The following is an 18,106-nucleotide window of genomic DNA, read 5'->3' on the forward strand; positions in this document are numbered from 1 at the left end:
ACCAACACAATGGGGAAAAGGCCTTGAAGGCATTTCATAGCTCCACTTCACAGCACTAATTTTGTGTACAATCATAAAGAAAGAGGTGTAATTGGCTCACGGTTCTGCAGGCTGTAAAGGAAGCATAGTGGCTTCTGCTTCCGGGAGGACTCAGGAAGCCTCCCAATCATACCAGAAGGCCAAGGGGCAAGGAAATGCTTCATGTGGCAGCAGTAGAAGCAAGACTGAGAGAGGAAAGAGGAGCCCGCCCTGTTATACAACCAGATCTCATGAGAACTCAGTATCACAAGGTCAGCATCAAGAAGATGGTGCTTAACCACTGGTGAAGGATCTGCCCCCGCAACCCCCACCTCCACCTCCCACTGTTTCCAGGCAGAAGCCTGCTGCAGAGGCAGAGCCAGATTCATAGACCCACCAACAGCTTGCACCCCCACTGTGGAAAAGCTACAGGCACTCAACAGTAGCCCAGTCCTTGAGAGCAGCCGTGGGGGCTAAAACTTGCAAAGCCACAGGTGCACTGCCCTAACACAGGTTGTCCATGAGGCTGTGCCTCTGCAGCAGGCGACTCCCCACTCCCACTACACCCCACCCTTCCACCACCCTACACCAGCCTACTCCTCCCCACCCTGCCCACCTCTTTTTCCTTCCACCCCACCCGCCTCCCATCCGTGATTAAATCACTCCCACCAGGCCCTCATCTTTTTGTCATTTTCCAATCCCTGCAAACCCTCCCAATCTTTGTTTGTTACCCACTTCTGAACCTGCTTCTACTTTTTCAGGTATCTCTATAGCGGGTTGGCTATGTAGTAATAACACAAAACCCGATTTAAGGGGGAACATTCAAGAAGACTTCAGAAATTTGCATATAAAGAAGCCCTGTGCTAATGGCCAAGACAAATGGAAAAAGGCCTTGAAGGCATTTCACAGCTCCTCTCTGCAGTTCTAATTTTCTGTATTATCCTAAATAAAAGAGGTTTCATTGACTCAGGGTTCTGCAGGCTGTGAAGGAAGCATAGTGTCTTTTGTTTCTGGGAGGAGTCAGGGAGCCTCCTAATTATACCAGAAGGCCAAGGGACAATGAGCTGTCTCCTATGGCAGGAGTAGGAGGAAGACAGAGTGAGGAAAAGAGGTTCCACAGCCTGTTAAACAACCAGATCACATGAAAACTCACTCACTATCAGGAGGACAGCATCAAGGGGATGGTGCTTTATCATTCGTGGAGGATCTACCTGCACCATTTTATGACTAAATCTTTTTCCACCTAGGCCCCACCTCTAACGTTAGGGAGTATAATTCCACATGGGTTTTGATAGGGATATAGAGACAAACCATATTATTCTGTCCCTGATCCCATGAATCTCTTGTCCTTTTCACATTGCAAAATACAATCATGCCTTGCCAGCATGAGTCTTAACTCATTTCAGCATTAACTCAAAGTTACAAAGTTCAAAGTCTCATCTGAGTCAAGGCTGCAGCCTCTTTTGCCTATAAGCCTCTGAAATAAAATGCAAGATCACTGCTTCTAAGGTACAGTGGTGGTACAGGCATTGTGTAAGCTTTCCATATCCAAAAGGAAGACATTTTCCAGAAAGCTTCTTATTTCTATCTGAGACCTCCTCAGCCTGGCCTTCACTGTCCATGTTTCTGTCAGGATTTTGGTCACAACCATTTAACCAGTCTCTAAGATGGTCCAAACCTTCTCATCTGTCTTCTTTTGAGCCCTCCAAACTCTTCCAACCTCTGTCCATTACCTAGTTCCAAAGCTGCTTCCACATTTTCAGGTATCTTTATAGCAATGCTCCAGTCCTCATTTGCCATTTTCTGTATGATTCATTATGAAAAAGAGGTTTAATTGGCTCACGGTTCTGCAGGGTGGACAGGAAGCACAGGGCTTCTGCTTCTGGGAGGCCTCAGAAATCTTTCAATCTTTGTGCAAGGCAAAGAAAGAGTCAGTTGTCTCACACGGCAAGAGGAAAACATGCAGAGTAGGGAGGTGACATAGAGTTTTCAATGACCAGGTGTCATGAGAAGTCACTCATGATTGTGAGGACAGTAGCAAGGGGATGGTGCTGAACCATTCATGAGAAATTTGCCTTCAGGATTCAATCACCTTAGACCAGGATCCACCTTCAACGTTAGGAAATATAATTCAACATGAGATTTGGTGAGGACACATATTCAAATTGCATCATCAATCTTTGAATATAAAGACATCCACAGCAGGCTTTATCCAGCCAGCTTCTTTGAGACTCTTCACAGGGTTTGAGGTCTACAGCATATACACGAAAATATTCATACTTCAAAAAGCAATAAAGTAAGTGGTATCATTCTTCCAAAAGTTACAATGGTAGTGTAGGAATTCATAGCATGGTTTAGGTCATGTTTGCTACTGTTTCTATTCTATCGCCATATTAACTGTTTCCTACACAATTCTATGTTCAGCCGAGTTTCAATTGAGAACAAAGCCATCCTTGTACTACCGCCAATACCTGGCACTATCTCTTTGCTAGTGTTATTATTCTGCTGTAGAAAGCATCCTTGAACTGGAAACAGTGCACAATCGAGTATCTAGTCATTCAACACTATCAATTCCTGGGTGACCTTTTGAAAAAATAGTATCTCTTGTTGCAAGAAATGCTGCATCTGTGAGTCCATGTTTCTCACTGGAATTGGATGGAAGTGGTGAATTTCAGCCACAGTGTCCAAAGAAATCCTGTTCCTGTGATTCTGATGTCATCAGCCTCTGCATCTCTGTCTTCCCTTCTGCCACATGTTGCCTGCTCTCCATGACTTTGGTAAGAGCTTCCTTGTGTATGTGGATGATGTCCAGGATGATGACCTGGTGTCCCAGAGACAGCACTAACAGGTCCATGACTGGGTCCAGTTCCTGGCTGGGCTGATTGGCAAAGAGCTCACCGACGGTGTTGAAGGCATCTCTGGTGAAGTGATGGCCTGGTCCAGCTCCAAGACCTGGCTGAGGCTGAAGAGCTGGCCACCTTCTGATGCTCTTTCTTAAAGCCCGTCACCATAATCTGCTTGCATGTCAACTCATTGGCTGAGAAGTTGAGCTGAGTGCCCTGTGGTCCATCTTCTTGGTGAAGCGCTCGAAGCCGTCAATTTTGCTCTCCCACTCTTAAAGGTTGAGGGCCACCTTGGGGGTGGGCTCAGGGTCAGGAAGAAGCTGGAATTCACCACCTCATCCTTCGCAGCCTTCCTCTTGCCCTGTCTCCAGGCTGTCTCTTCAGTGCTGGTGTGGCACATCACGAAGTGATGGAAGACGTGGCACTGTGCCTGCACCCAGAAGCTGGCCATGTGGTTCATCCACGAGATTGGGCCCTTTCTGCACTTGAACATGGAGTCCTTCTCAAGATGGCCTGCGGTCTGCCTCTTGGCACCCAAGAAGCCCACAGTGCTGTAGGAGCCCTCATGCATGGACTGGAGCCCCAAAGGCAGCGCACAGCCTGCTCCTGAGCCTGCTGCTCATTTCCTCTATGTGGCTCCATCTGCAGCACAGTGGTTGCATTGAGGCCTGTGCATGCCAGGCAAGGCCAAGCTGGCTCAAAGAGCAACCAGCCACCTCTGCAAGGGTGTGCCAGGAGCAGGTGGACCAGCCACCAACCTCACTCGCTGCCAGTCAGGGTAAATCAGTTATTCTGCCCTGGAGGTAGGGCCCCAGTGCCATCTGCTTTTCCTCAGGCCTCTGCTCCATCAGCCGTCAAGTGGCAGCCCCTCAGGCTGTGGGAACCTGGCCACCCCTGATTCCTTGAGTGGGTGAGGTTGGTGGCCGGTCCACTTGCTCCAGGCACACCCTTGCAGAGGTGGCTGGTTGCTCTTTGAGCCAGCTTGGCCTTGCCTGGCATGCACAGGTCCTGGGTACTGACACCCTGCTCTGAGTGAGCTTGTCCTGTCTTGGGCCAAATTCTAACTCTGGCCAGGGCCACAGAAGGCTGAGTCCCCTGGGTGGTAATGCTGACTGCTGCTGGGGGGACCATAGTGCCCCTCCCCTCCCAGGGCCCAGGATGAGGCCCAACTGGGCCAGGACCCTTTAGGTATGGATCTCGCTCCCCAGCAGGGGGCCTCTGTCCCACAGGTTGGATGACAAGATGCTGCTGGCTGCCAGGGTTGTTCGGATGCCACGTTCACCCTTCCCTCCAGGGACATCAAAGTTTCCAGCTTCCCCTTTGAGAATGACTTCCCAAGGCCCAGGTGCCATCTGGGGCTGCAGGGCAGCTGGCTGCATGCTGCCCTGGCTTCTTCCATGTTGGGCTGGTCACTACCCACCAAGGGGGGTCAGATGCAGGAACCAAGTAGGGCGGTTGTCTCTGGACCTGCATCTTGGTTATCACGGAGCGAGACTGGGCCTGGTGACAGGGCCATGATGGGGTTGTCCTGGTGGTCCTGGGGGTGTCCAGAGGAGATGCAGAATGGAATTGCTGCAAGGATGAATGAGATGACTGTCAGCACAGAACAGGCACCTGGTGAGTGCTCAGGGATTACCCTCAGTAGCTGCCCAGAGGCCAAAACCACCCACCCGATAGCGACTGTCCCCAAGCCAGGAGGAAGAGAAGAGAGCAGGTCCCACTCACCTGAGTCCGATCAGTCAGCTGTGTTGAGATGTGCCTTTCACCTAGAAAACAATCCTTCATGCAGAGCCACTCACAGAGACTGCTGCGTGTCTCTAACTGCTCCACAACACAGAGGCGATGGGGACTCAGCAAGAGTGACATTGTGGGGTGACACAACCCACCACAACAGGAGCCTGCTTGGGTCAAGAGGGCCCAGAGTCGGTGTCCTCTATCCCCTGAACTGACATGTGTGCATGCATTGTGTTTGTGTATGCGTGTGTGTGTGTACATATGGGTGTGTTTGTTTGTCTTGCTTCTCTGGCCAGGCCTAGCTGCTCCACTCACAGGTGCACCCAGGTCCTCATCACTGTCACCACCAGGGCCCAGGGCCAGGATTAGAGCCTCCCACAGGTGCTCCCCAATTTCTTCCCTCTCCACTGAGGGTGGTCCTGGGGATGCAGACAGAGGAGGGGTGCCGAGCAGAGCAGAGAGGGCTGGCACCCTTTCTAGGTGGAACCCAGGTACTGTGTAAAGTTGGAGGTCTGCCAAGCAGTGCTGAATTCAACACATCTTCTCACGTTCTCTTTCCAGCCACCCTCCAGGGTGCCCTGACTCACCTTCCCTACAGATGGAGGCAAAGAGGCTCCACAGACAAACCCCCTGCCTGAGGTCACACATCGGCTAACTGGCCAGGTTCCTACTGACCAGGTGGCCCCAACGAGGCCCCTAATGAGCACTCCCCCATTGACCAGGCCCCACTGACCAAGTCCCCACGGACCATGTCTCCCTAACCAGGCCCCCATTAGTAGGCCTCATGGACCAGACCCCACTGACCAATTTCCCACTGACCTGGTCCCCACTGACTGGGTTCGCACTGACAAGACCACAATTTACCAGGTTGCTGCTCACCTCACCCCCATTGAATAATTCTCCATGGATCAGTCCCCAGCTGACTGAGCCCCCTCTGACCAGGCTCTCACTGACCAGGCTCCAAGCCACTAAGGCCCCACACTGACCAGACCCCTAATACACTGAATACACCCCACCGACCAGTTTTTTATTGTTTATGTTCCAACCGATCAGGCCCCACTAATAAGAGCACCACTGACCAGGTCCCCACTGACTAGGCTTCCAATGACTAGGTCACAAGATACCCACTGGGTGAGGCCTTCACTGAGGCGGCCACCACTAACCAGGTCCCTGCTGATCAGGTCCCAACTGACCAGGTCGTGATGGCTAGGTCATCTCTGACCATGGTCCACTGACGAGGCCCTTGAGCAGCTGTGTTCAAAGTCTCATTACAATGCCACCATCAGCTCACAGAACCTCCCCTCCCTGCATGTGTGCCCAGGGGTCAGGCCTGGGGGGTTTTCTTGGGCTGCAAGGCCTCTCCTCCAAGACACAGGGAGGGAGTCAGCCTCAGGCTCCAGGTACCCAGCTTCACACTCACCCCGCAAGGCCCTCTGGGCCCATCTCAAAGGAGACAATGAGGTGGCCTGGCACTGCCTGGACATGCCATCTTCCCTATTCCTGAGTGTCAGAGTGGGAGGAAGGGAGGGACATTTGGCAGACAAGACATCCTGTGCTGCTGGGTCTCCCAGGGCCCTTCCTGAAGAGCCCCGACCTAGAGACACAGCACAGAGACTGCAGGGAGACTAATCAAGAACCCTTGAGGCTGAGCCAGGGACCACATGAGGACTGTCCCCAGACAGCTAGAAGGCCCTTTGCTAGTTTCTTGGTACCTCAGTGGATGCGACAGTGGTTCTTCTGTTGGGGACTAGTGAGCGCATGATGGGAAGGGCTCGCCTGTGCTTCCTTGGTGCTGCCGCAGAGAAAATACATTAGTTTAGAACACCTTGTGCCAGAAAGTAAAAAAGTGCTGACAGAATAATGGGGACAATTCAAAAAGACATAAAGTCAGCTTGAAATGTCTACCACTGGCCTAATCTTGGGGAACTGGAGCACCAGAATCATGAGCTTTCCCTTCTCCTTTATTTATTGGTTTTATTTCTCCATGTAGAACAAAGAAGAAAATAAGAAAAACAATCATCTGGCAACCATCACAGTAATACTTGTTCAAACACAAGTCATCCATGAAATGCTAAATCTAGTGGGTTTTGAGGAGTAACCAGATATTTACAGAGCTTCAAAGTATCTCCACACAAAATACTATTGAGCTACAAGAAGAAAACCGTAACACTAGTATGGACAAACCTGGCAGATACTCTTTAAGTCTCCTACTACATATGGTAATAAAAACTGTAAAATGCAAAGAAGCCCTCGATGACCTTTACTAAAGTATCAATGATGACTTGGTTGTTTGGCTGTTTAAACAGCTGACATTCAGGCAATTTGAGTAGGCCAAACTCAATAACGCTGGTGTTCATTTGCAAGATCCACTTAAAACTTAAGGAGGCTAAAAAACATCATTTAAAATAACATATAAATATACACCATATGTGACATGAAAATATTCTACTTTAGTAAAGATTATGATGTTTTATATTATATGAGAAACAATTAAAATTTCATGTAAATAGCCCAGTAATAAAGTTTTATGATCTTTTAAATCATACAACTTTTCCTTAAGATTTTATGGTTAATCTCTTCATTAGATGTGGCTTACCAGTGGATTCTACAAAAGAAAGTAGACGGGAGCAAGTGCTCAACATAGCAAAACCTGGAAAGAAAAAGAAAGGATTATGTTCTTTACCTAAAACATTTCAGTTAACGAAGTGTAAGTTTAAAATGTGGAGTTGAGAACGTTATCAGAGTTAATAAGAATGAGAAATATGTACGTGCAATTACAATACAAAATTACTATTAAATCATTTACACATGGCGTTAATTCCAATTGTGGTTAAATATCACAGCTTTTTCATTCTTCATTCATGTACTCAACAGCCACGTGCTAAGGTACTAGAGCCAGCACTGGAATTACAAGATGAAGATGGCATGGTCCACCTCCCAATAGTCATATGCTATAACCTAAAAGACCGGCAGGTAATGTCCATATAGAGTCATAGATACCATGACAGGTATACAGCAGGGCACTACTGGAACATACAGAAGGGACATCTATCCCACTTTTGTGTCAATATCATGGGCTTTCTGGTGGAGGGGATACATAGGTTGATGACTGAAGGACGAGGAAAATCTTGCCAGATAGAGGGAAGAGGCGAAGGCAAAGATCCTGAGGTAACAAAGAGCCCTGCGGAGCTCTATTCTGTCCACTTTGGTGCTAGAGCAAAGGGCAGAATGCAGTAAGTGGTGAGAGACAAGGCTGAGTAACCTGACAAGAGTTACATTGATGTGAGTGTTTTTATTTCATGGTGAAATTTTTGGAACTTTTCCTGAGAACAGATGTAAGCCAACTGATGCCTTTGTTTTTGGAGAATCGTTTCAGTGTGCTGGCTGACAGTTCCATGAGGATGGCAAAAGTGAACAAATTGTAGAGCTGGTAAAAAAGAGATGGATCCACTTCTTGGGAATTTTTTAAGCTATGGAACATGATGAATTAATGATGCATAAGTATACTCTTCACTGTGAAAGTTTTCGTTTTCACATCTTTCATTAGATGTGTGTAAGAAAAAGATACTGAATATAGTATCTACTAACCCAACAATGAAAAGGAATGCCATTTGCTATTTACACTTTATTACTAAAATAAACCTAAATTTAATTAATACATTTTGGCAACATACTTTTCTTTGTTCCTGTAATTATTTGTTCTACACGGTCCAGCTCCATCTAAAATAAGTAAATAATAATAATAATAATGTTTAAGTTAAACAAGAAATATTATCATGAGATTAATATATTACAAAATGTGGCCCTTAGTATTTTTAGTGACTAGACATAACACAAAGTTTGCTTAAATAGAAAATTAATCACATTAAGTAAAGTAAAATTTCTACTTATTCTAAGTTTAGATAATAGAGGATGTATCTGTGTAATGCTATTTAGAGTAATCTGACAAAAATAGATAATATTGGTCTATTGGATATACATAATTTTAGAAAGGTGGTGTTTTATTTGTACAAAGGTTAAACAATGGCCGGGCACAGCAGCTCATGCCTGTAATCCCAGCACTTTGGGAGGCAAATGTGGGCAGATCACAAAGTCAAGAGATCGAGACCATCCTGGCCAACATGATGAAACCCTATCTCTACTAAAAATACAAAAATTAGCTGGGTGTGGTGGTGCATGCCTCTAGTCCCAGCTACTCGGGAGGCTGAGGCAGGAAAATGGCTTGAACCCAGGAGGTGGAGGTTGCAGTGAGCCGAGATCGTGCCACGGCACTCCAGCCTAGTGACAGAGCGAAACTCCATCTCAAAAAAAAGAAAAAAAAAAGGTTAAACAATTAAAGTCACATTTTGCAATGAATGAATGCATTGCTTTGAAATTCTTAGCAAAACTCTGTCCTTTACAAAAGTTTAATCCATTTTTTACTTAAATAAATTTTTTCTTAAAAAGAAATTTATATTCTTTAGTTACTGAAAAAAATATGTAAAGTTTTCTTTTTTTTTTCTAGTTTGTATTCTAAATTAAAGCGGTACCTGTGTAAGTTTCTTCCAAAAGTATATTGAGGAATGCTAAGGTTTGGAGTACAATTGAACCCATCACACAGGTAGTGAGCATAGGACCCAAGAAGCAGTTTTTCAACCCTGGCCCACTCTGTCCCTCCCCATTCTTATTTCCCAGTGTCTATTGTTCCCATGTTTATGTCAATGGGCACCTGATGTGTAGCTCCCACATATGAGAGCAAACAAGATATTTGGTTTCTGTTTCTGCGTTAGTTTCCTTAGGATAGTGGATTCCAGCTGTATCCATGTTGCTGCAAAGGACATGATTTTATTCTTTTCATGGCTGCATAGTATTTGGTATATATGGAATTTTCCAATCTACCTTGGATTTTCAAACTACCTTGGGTGCACCTGGATTGACTCCATGTCTTTGCTATTGTGAATAGTGCTGCAATGAACATACATGTGCATGCATCTTTTTGTTACAATGATTTATATTTTCCTTTAGGTATAACCCTAGTATAGTAATGGGGTTGCTGCATGTGGGATTACAGGTGCCTGCCACCACACCTGGCTAATTTTTGTAGTTTTAGTAGAGACGGGGTTTCATCATGTTGGCCAGGCTGGTATCAAACTCCTGTCCTCAGGTGATCCGCCTGCCTCGGCCTCCCAAAATGCTGGGATTACAGGTGTGAGCCACCACACCTGGCCAAGCACAAAGCTTTTAACAGAAAAATGGAAATGAACCTTTCAGTGTTTTGTTTATTTAATTCATAAAATGCACTTATTTGGGGTTCTATTAAATAATAAATATCTATATGTTGTTAAGTGTTTGGTTGCCTGTCATTCACTTGTGATTATGGGTGGAAAGAGTTAAGTTGGTGCAAAGAAACTTTAAAAGTGGTATGGGCTGGGCACAGAGGCTCACCCCTGTAATCCCAGCACTTTGGGAGGCTGAGGTGGGTGGATAACAAGGTCAAGAGTTCGAGACCTGCCTGGCCAATATGGTGAAATCCCATCTCTACTAAAAATACAAAAATTAGCCAGGTGTGGTGGCAGACACCTGTAGTCCCAGCTACTTGGGAGGCTGAGGCAGGAGAATCACTTGAACCCAGGAGGCAGAGGTTGCAATGAGCTGAGATCATGCCACTGCACTCTAGCCTAGGCAACAGAGCAAGACACCATCTCAAAAAAAAAAAAAAAGTGATATGAACCACAGACAAACTACAATCAAGTAGAGTAAGACAAAGCATTTCAAAGTATACCATCAGTTATTAGGCAATAACATGCATTTTCTAAAACCTAACTTAAATGCAGCTTTTAAAGAAATTTTAAATGTGTCAGTTTAACCACATTTATTGAATAAAGTTAGCAAATGGGTGTCTCTTGAAAATGAGAGCTCCAGGGAATTAAAAAATGTAAAGTTTCCATTTCCTTTCTGTGTTAACACAGCTAATTATAATCTTTACTTAACATGCGTAAGTCAACAGAACTCAGTATTTCATCAAATTATAGACAAGAATTATATTAGAGAAATGAAACCCAAAAGAGAAATGGTCATATAACTAACCTCAGTCAAGAAGTTCTTGCAGTTATTTGAAGTCTGTGGGTTTGAAGTAGGAATTCTTATGGCCGTTTTGGGAATATATTTTCTGTTGAGTTCTATACTATTAAGATTTTCAACACAAGGTAACTCTGGTTCTGGCCTTGTAGGAAGAGTGCTGAGAAAATATTTCATCCGCTGTTTCTCCGTAAAGAGCTTGGTGCTGATCACTGCTATTTTCTTATCCGATCTGTAAAGAGAGCAAAGACAAATGCTTAGTATTTCATTTTTCCTTGAATGATTCTTAATGACTTGCATTTTTTAAAAAGTTGCCCTGAGAGTAAACCAAAATACCCATTAAACAGTGCTTTCACACAAAGATGTGTGAGGGCATACCTCTTGTAAGTAACGGTAATTTTAAAATCATCCTAAATAAGTATATGTGTTTCTAAGGTGATTTCTACTGAACAAGCAGTTCAAAGTGGACAGGGAAGAGAAATGGCTATCAGTGATGTACGGCTCAACAGGTAACCTAGCTGCCTTCTAAAATAGCTCTACTTATAAGATTCTAAAGATTCCTTTAGATATACTTGTATTTAAAGGGTAACTATGTGGGAAAATGATTACGTTAATTTGCTTGACTATAAGAACTACTTCACTATAAATAATTATATGAAAACATCATGTTGTACTCCTTAAATAATGTAGATTAAGAAAACTAAAATGAACAAAAATAATCTAGAAATACTTGTGTTTAGTAAACCAGTTTCAGGTTTCACCCTTGTACATTTCACCCATTCTCTAAGAACACTTAAGTATTTGGCACTGAGGAATAACTCAGAGCAACAACTCCTGGGGGAGAACTAGACTGGTTGGTTGGTGATCAAAAAGAACTAAAGCATCTCTGAAGGCAATTAGCCCTCAACACCGTGACCAAGGCACTGGAGGTGGGGCTTGTTCTTTCTGCCTTCCACACAGCCCTTCAGGCTGAAAAAGGTGTTATTTTTGAACCCTTGTGGATTACCCTTCTTTTCATTCCTGTGATAATTATTCCCTCTTTCACAAGGATGACTTTATGTAACACCTTGAAAATGTTACACAAATAGTCTTTCTTGAGGCACCCTCTAGTGATAATACCAAAGATCACAATCAAAAACAGTCCCTGCCTGAGTGCCAGGATGTGCCCAGAGTAGCAGTATCACTTGACACTTTGGGTTTAGGTTGTGATCTACCAAAAAATAAATTAAACTCACTAATATTCCCATTTAGGGAAATTCTGACAAGTAATTTTATAACAAGATCACTTTATTGATCATAAAGCTTCAAAAATACTTAGTGAAAAAAACTAACAGGTCAGGTTAACTACATGAGACTTTTCAGGGGAAAAAAGCCACACAAAAACAAAAAAAGAGAAGAGAGACAGAAACTATCCTTGATGAACATTTTAAAGGTAGGATTATTTACTAACATTATTTTCCAAAATTACATTATCAAATTAGCATTCACTTCCTACTGATCTCCTGAAGCCATCTCACTAAAAATTATGCTTTTAAGACAAATTAATGAGCTGAATTCATTTTCTATGAGTGTATGTTTTGACTTACTTCATTAATTTTTTTGACATGGAATTGTTAGCTTTCACTGCTCCTGCAAAGGCTTCCTTAAATTCTTCTAATTCAGTTGTAACCTCTTCATAAGCAGTTTTCATTTTGGAGAATTTACATTCCACATCTTTAAGTGTGAGTTCCTTCTTTTTTAGTGAAGCCGTATTATCCTTGTTTAACTGCTCTAATTGTTTTTCATATTCTGCTTGTTTCTAAAACAAATGAAAAGAATACACTTTTAAAACAATTATAAGTTAATTACCATAGGTTTGTTGCCTTTCATTTTGAATCAGTGATTCGAAGAGCAATTTTGAGTATGTTGAAAAGAGGCTGAAGCTTAAAATATTTATCAGCAATATCAACAAAACTAATAACTGAATTCAGAATTGTCTGATTTAAAAAAATTTGAAATCATACTTATGTTAGTATTAATGTAATCTTGTCCTATAAAAAGTAATAGAATCCATTTATAATTTTAAAAAGTGAACAATGAACAACGTAGCTTAAGACCAATTCAAAAGTATCATATAATTTCTAAATCACAGTTTTCTCTTATGCCACCTGGTCTTAATCATCAAATTCCCCCTTTTACTCTATAGTGAGAATCATTACTTTGAAAGATTGATTTTGTTATAATAATAATGGAAATTTAAATATTTAAAAGGAAAAAAGTCACTTTTTTTCTAGAACTCTACGAAGGAAATTGCTGTAAGAGAGGCAGAGGAAACACAATATATACATATCCAAAATATAGTTTGCAGTGAAATAAATGAAAGCCCATTACAGATAAACTTACCTGATTTTAAAAACTAACCTGTAAATGGATTTCTTCTAATTTTTCTATTTCCTGCACTGCCCTTTCATCCAGCTCCGATTTATATTCTTGTAGTTTACCAAGTTCTACCATATCTTTTTCCATATGTGTCTTAAGATTTAATACTTCTTCTTCCAACATCTTTTTATCCTTCTCAAGTTTTTCACATTTCTCTTGTACATTTCTCATAGATAATAACTCCTGATGAAGAACTTCATTGTCTTTGGCCAAATTGACACATTCTGAAGACACAGCTTCCTTCTCGGCCACAAGATCATTAAACTGCATTAAGAAAATAATAGAGCTTGATAATGAAGTAGGCTGAGAATAATCCAATACAAAACCAATAGCAAATTTTGAAATGCATTGACTTGAAATAAAATGTTATCTATAATGTAGTAGATTCTTCAAATGTGAACCCTTAAATTACTCAGAATTTTAAGAACAAAGTTAAAGCTACCATGAGTCACAAAAATGTGCTTTACTGTCATCATCTTTGCCACAGAACTTTTGCACTTGCTTTTACTTTTATTTTTCTGATAATTCATTTTTGTTCCTCCTTAAATGGCACTAAGTTATCTCTTAGTAAAAAGTGTCTAACCCTCTTCCCTCATCATCATTCCCCAAAATTTGTCAAAAAAACTTTCAGAGATATCATATTGAGTTATTTAGGCCAAAGTCAATAAATGGCTCTCAGAATAAGACTTTGAAAATAATATAATACTCTACGCTAGGCATGGTGGCTCATGCTTGTAATCCCAGCACTTTAGGAGGCTGTGGCAGAAAGATCACTGGAGGCCAGGAATTTGAGATCAGCCAGAGCAACATAGTGAGACCCCCATCTCTACAAAAAAACAAATTTAAAAAATTAGCCAGGCATGGTGGCTCAGGCCTGTAGACCCAGCTAGTTGGGAGACTGAGGCAAAAGGATGGCTTGTACCCAGAGTTCAGGGCTGCCGTGAATTATGACCACATCACTGCACTTCTTCCTGGACGATAGACAAAGACAATATCTCAAAAAAACACAAAATAATGAATCCTGTAAATAAGGATTCTGATGCCATAAGCCTTTCCCTAAACTGCAAATGTTTCATGCTAATTTGAATTGCATTTTAAGAAGTAATGATTCTTGGGGTAAAGGCCATAGAATACAGCACCCAGAAACAAATCCACATATTTACAGCCAACTTATTTTGGAATAAGGTGCCAAGAACATACATTGGGGAAAGGACACCCTCTTCAAATGAATAGCGCTGGGAAACTACCCATATGAAGAATGATACTAGCTTCCTATCTATATAGCACCATATAGCAAAATAAACTCAGAATCGATTGAAGACTGAAATGTAAGGCCCCAAATTATCAAACTATTATAAGTAAACATAGGGAAAATGCTTCAGGACATTAGTCTGCACAAAGATTTGTATAGGTAAGACATCAGAAGCATAGGCAACAAACAAATGATAGACAAATGGTACTACAACTGAGTGAAGAGAAAACCTGTAGAATGGAAGAAAACATTTTCAAGCAATTCATCCAAAATATCCAAATACACAAGACAAATATCCAAAGTACACAAGGAACTCAAACACCCTGACAGTAAACAAAAATAATCTGAGTTCAAAACTAGGCAAAAGATCCGATTAGATATTTCTCCTTTTTTTAAGAGAAAAAAAAGAAATACAAATAGCGAACAAATACATTTTAAAATGTTCAGTATCACTAATCATCAGGGAAATACAAATCAAACCTACAATGTGATATAATCTTGCTCCATTTCAATAAATGGCTATCACAGAAAACACACAAAAAAGTGCTGGTGAGGTTTCAGAGAACAGTAAACTCTTACATGCTGTTCGTGGGAAGGTAAATTAGTGCAGCTACTATAGAAAACAACATGAGGCTTTCTCAAAAAATGAACAATGCAACTGCCGAGGGATCCAGCAACCCCACTACTGGGTATTCAGGCAACAGAAAAGAAAACAATAGATCACAAGGATACTTGTCCTCATATGTTTATTGTAGCTCTATTCACAACAGCTAATGTATAAAATCAACCTACATGTCCATCAACAAATGAATGGACAAAAAAATTGTGGTACACATAAACAATGGAATACTCACCATATAAAAAAATGAAATCCTCTTACTTGTAGCCACGTGGCTCAGTCTGGAGGATATTATGTTAAGTGCAGACACAGAAAGATAAATACTGCACATTCTCACTCATGTGTGGGAGCTAAAGAAAAATTGAGGGCTGGGCAACATGGCTGATGCCCGTAATTTCCTAGCACTTTGAAAGACCGAGGCAGGAGAATCACTTGAAGCCAAAAGTTCCAGAGCAGCCTGAACAACATAGAGAGACATCTCTACAAAGTAAAAAATCAGACAGGTGCAATGGTGCACGCCCATAATCCTAGCTGCTCAGCAGGGTGAGGTCAGAGGATCACATGGGCCCAAGAGGTTGAGGCTGCAGTGAGCTATGATCAAATCACTGTCTCTAGCCTGGATGACTCTACAGTTGCCCAGAGCCCAGACTACACTAGCAAGACCTTGTCTCTTAACAACAAAAAAGCTCATAGAAGTAGGAGAGGGGAGTCTGGTTAATGGATACAGAATTACAGTTAGATAAGAGGAATGAGTTCTGATGTTCTGTGGCATTATAGAGTGAATATGGTTAACTATGATTTATTGAATATTTTTAAAAAGCTAGAAGATTTTGAATGTTCACAATTCAAAGAAATGAAAAATGATTGAAGTAGTAAGAAGTAGTAAATATGCTAGTTAGCTTGATCATTATGCACTATATAAATTTATCAAAATGTCACCCTATAGCCCATAATTATGTATATACATGTCAATTAAAACAAAAGAGAATCTATATTCATCCCATTAAAAGAATAGAATATGGGCCATCCTTACTGATGGCCTTCTCCTAATGAATAGAATGCAGTAAAAGGGATACCATGTAGCTTCCCTATCTCAGACTGCTTTCCCTTCGAACTCAGCCCCCAGATTGTGAGAGAGATCAGTCCACAAAGACAGCCTGGGAGTGCCAGTGTCGGTGTTCATGCTGCCTGCCCCAGCCGAGGTTCCAGCCAGTGGCCAGCATCAACCATCAAACACATGGGTGAGCAAAGCTTCAGATGATTCAATTTCTCCAACTTCCTAGGGAACCTGAGGGGAGCAGAGACAAGCTGTCCTGGCCAATCTTTTTCCAAACCACAGGTTCATGAACAAAATAAATGTTTTTCTTTTAAGCCACAAAACTCTGGGTAATTGTTAGAAAAATAAGTTTTAAAAAGAGACAACAGGAAACAACTTAGGTAGCAGAAAAGAGTCTCCTTTAAAGTAGGATCTAATAAATGTTGAGATTAATTTGTTGATGACAAACATTATTGAGAAACAGCAGATAACCAGGAGAGAGATGTAAGCTGCTGAGGAGGAACTTTTCCTAAAACCCCCTTCAATTATGAACTCTGATAATAAGGCAAGGGTGTCTCCTTACCATTTCCCCTCAAGTTAGGAAATAAGACTGCAAAGCAAGAAGACACATGATTTGAAAAACAACTGGAAATACTTGGTTACATAACCAAAATCAGACATTTACCTGATTTCAATTAATGAAAATTCTAAAAGAAGAAGCTCTAAGTATTTATTAATCAATCTAGTATTCGATTTTCATTTTCCTTTTTCTCAATGAGGAAATAAGGAGAAAATTATGGAATGACTTTTACTCTTCACAGAAGTAAAATAAACACAGCATACTTTGAGTGTTAAGACATCAAATGCATTTTCTCCTTTACCTTACTTCACGTTTGTTTGCATGGAGAAGTTAAGACCATCCCATCTCTGTATTATACCGCAATGCTTCTCTATAGCACACAACTTGGCTCTGAAATTTTGAAATTCAAAATACTAATCTACTATTTGTCTCTGATAAATTGCCTGAATATTACCTGATTTTTAAGTGCTGCACTCCTAAAACTTTTTCTTGGAATGAGTTAAACTTTTTATTCCAAGAATCCTCTACTGAGCTAGAAAGCAGAGCTGTGCATCTCTGTTTCAGTAATAGGAGGTCAATACAGAAACCGTGGTTTCTGAGAATGCAAGATCTGCACCAAGAAAAGGATTAGCCACAGTGTTACACAAGAGAACAAGATGCCAGGTGGAAAGAGGATCTGTGAACTGAAAGATGATGACTTCACTTGATTTCCACTGAGGAAAGCTGGCAGCTCAGACTTAAACTCCTCCTTCCTGGATGGTAAACATCTATGGATGATTCTATGAATTATAATGAGTTAGTAAAACATAAGGCACTAAATAGTAGACTATTTCAGCAGATACTGCGACCAAAATTTACTGAAAATGAAACTATAGAGGGAGGCACTGGATAAGAGACTAAAGGTTCAAATGGAGAAAAAAAGAAATAGTGTGTCTCGTAAGCCTGACTTGCCATCATGTCTTAGAGTAAGTAAGGTATAAGCTGGCCACAGACTCCTTTGAGACACAAAAGGTGAAGTTAAAGATATTCTACTACATTTAATTTTTATTATGACATAAGACAACTGGTAATATGCAACATGATTGAAAAAATTTTCTCAGTAAATTCAATTTGGTCCTCGTATAAGAATAGACATAAACTAAGAATTGATAACCTAAAAATAAACCTGCACATTTACAGTCAATTGATTTTATACAAGGTAACAAAAAAACAGAATGGGAAAAAATAGTCTTTTCAATAAATGATATTGGAACAACTGGGTATCCATGTGCAAAAAAAATTACAAAGTTGGACTCTCACCTAATACCATATTTAAAAATTAACTCAAAACAGTTAACTGTAACAGCTAAAACTATAAAACTCTCAGAAGAAAACATTGGCATAAATCTTTGTGACTGCATTTGGCAGTGTTTTCTTAGCTATGACTCCAAAGGAAAAATGGATTCAATGGACTTCAAAATTGAAAACTGCTGTGCCTGAGAAGACAGTATCAAGAAGTGAAAAGGCAAGACACTGAGTAGAAGAAAGTATTTGAAAAGTGTATATCTGA

At 41.5% G+C, this 18,106-nt stretch overlaps 1 protein-coding gene and 1 pseudogene across 9 annotated transcripts in view, besides 1 other annotated feature; both read right to left on the bottom strand.

Moving 5' to 3' along the window:
• Nucleotides 1-1,336: 1,336 nt before the first annotated feature.
• The window catches only part of ANKRD18A (ankyrin repeat domain 18A), a 54,446-nt gene continuing 37,676 nt past the window's right edge, over nucleotides 1,337-18,106 (bottom strand). For 3 of the 9 annotated variants that reach the window (XM_011517839.4, XM_017014576.3, XM_024447482.2), the window contains 5 exons: nucleotides 13,053-13,334; nucleotides 12,239-12,450; nucleotides 10,662-10,884; nucleotides 7,192-7,245; nucleotides 6,308-6,387 (listed from right to left, as the gene is read on the bottom strand). In XM_011517839.4, the coding sequence (XP_011516141.1) occupies nucleotides 7,231-7,245; nucleotides 10,662-10,884; nucleotides 12,239-12,450; nucleotides 13,053-13,334 (732 nt within the window). In that variant the 3' untranslated portion in view covers nucleotides 6,308-6,387; nucleotides 7,192-7,230. Of the gene's footprint in view, nucleotides 4,434-4,586; nucleotides 4,763-6,307; nucleotides 6,388-6,549; nucleotides 7,246-8,269; nucleotides 8,316-10,661; nucleotides 10,885-12,238; nucleotides 12,451-13,052; nucleotides 13,335-18,106 lie in introns of those variants that run through there. The other 6 variants (NM_147195.4, NM_001331100.2, XM_024447483.2 and 3 more) reach the window with 5 other exon arrangements.
• On the bottom strand, nucleotides 2,587-4,368 carry SNX18P3 (sorting nexin 18 pseudogene 3; annotated as a pseudogene).
• Nucleotides 4,048-4,717: an enhancer, noted in NCBI's record as "H3K27ac-H3K4me1 hESC enhancer chr9:38568859-38569528 (GRCh37/hg19 assembly coordinates)". NCBI's record gives its function as "activates a minimal SCP1, AML or CMV promoter by ChIP-STARR-seq in primed H9 embryonic stem cells {active_cell/tissue: H9 hESC(primed)}" and the evidence as "EXISTENCE:reporter gene assay evidence [ECO:0000049][PMID:30033119]".

Source organism: Homo sapiens, chromosome 9 (genome assembly GCF_000001405.40).
Source record: "Homo sapiens chromosome 9, GRCh38.p14 Primary Assembly".
Taxonomy (NCBI): domain Eukaryota; kingdom Metazoa; phylum Chordata; class Mammalia; order Primates; family Hominidae; genus Homo; species Homo sapiens.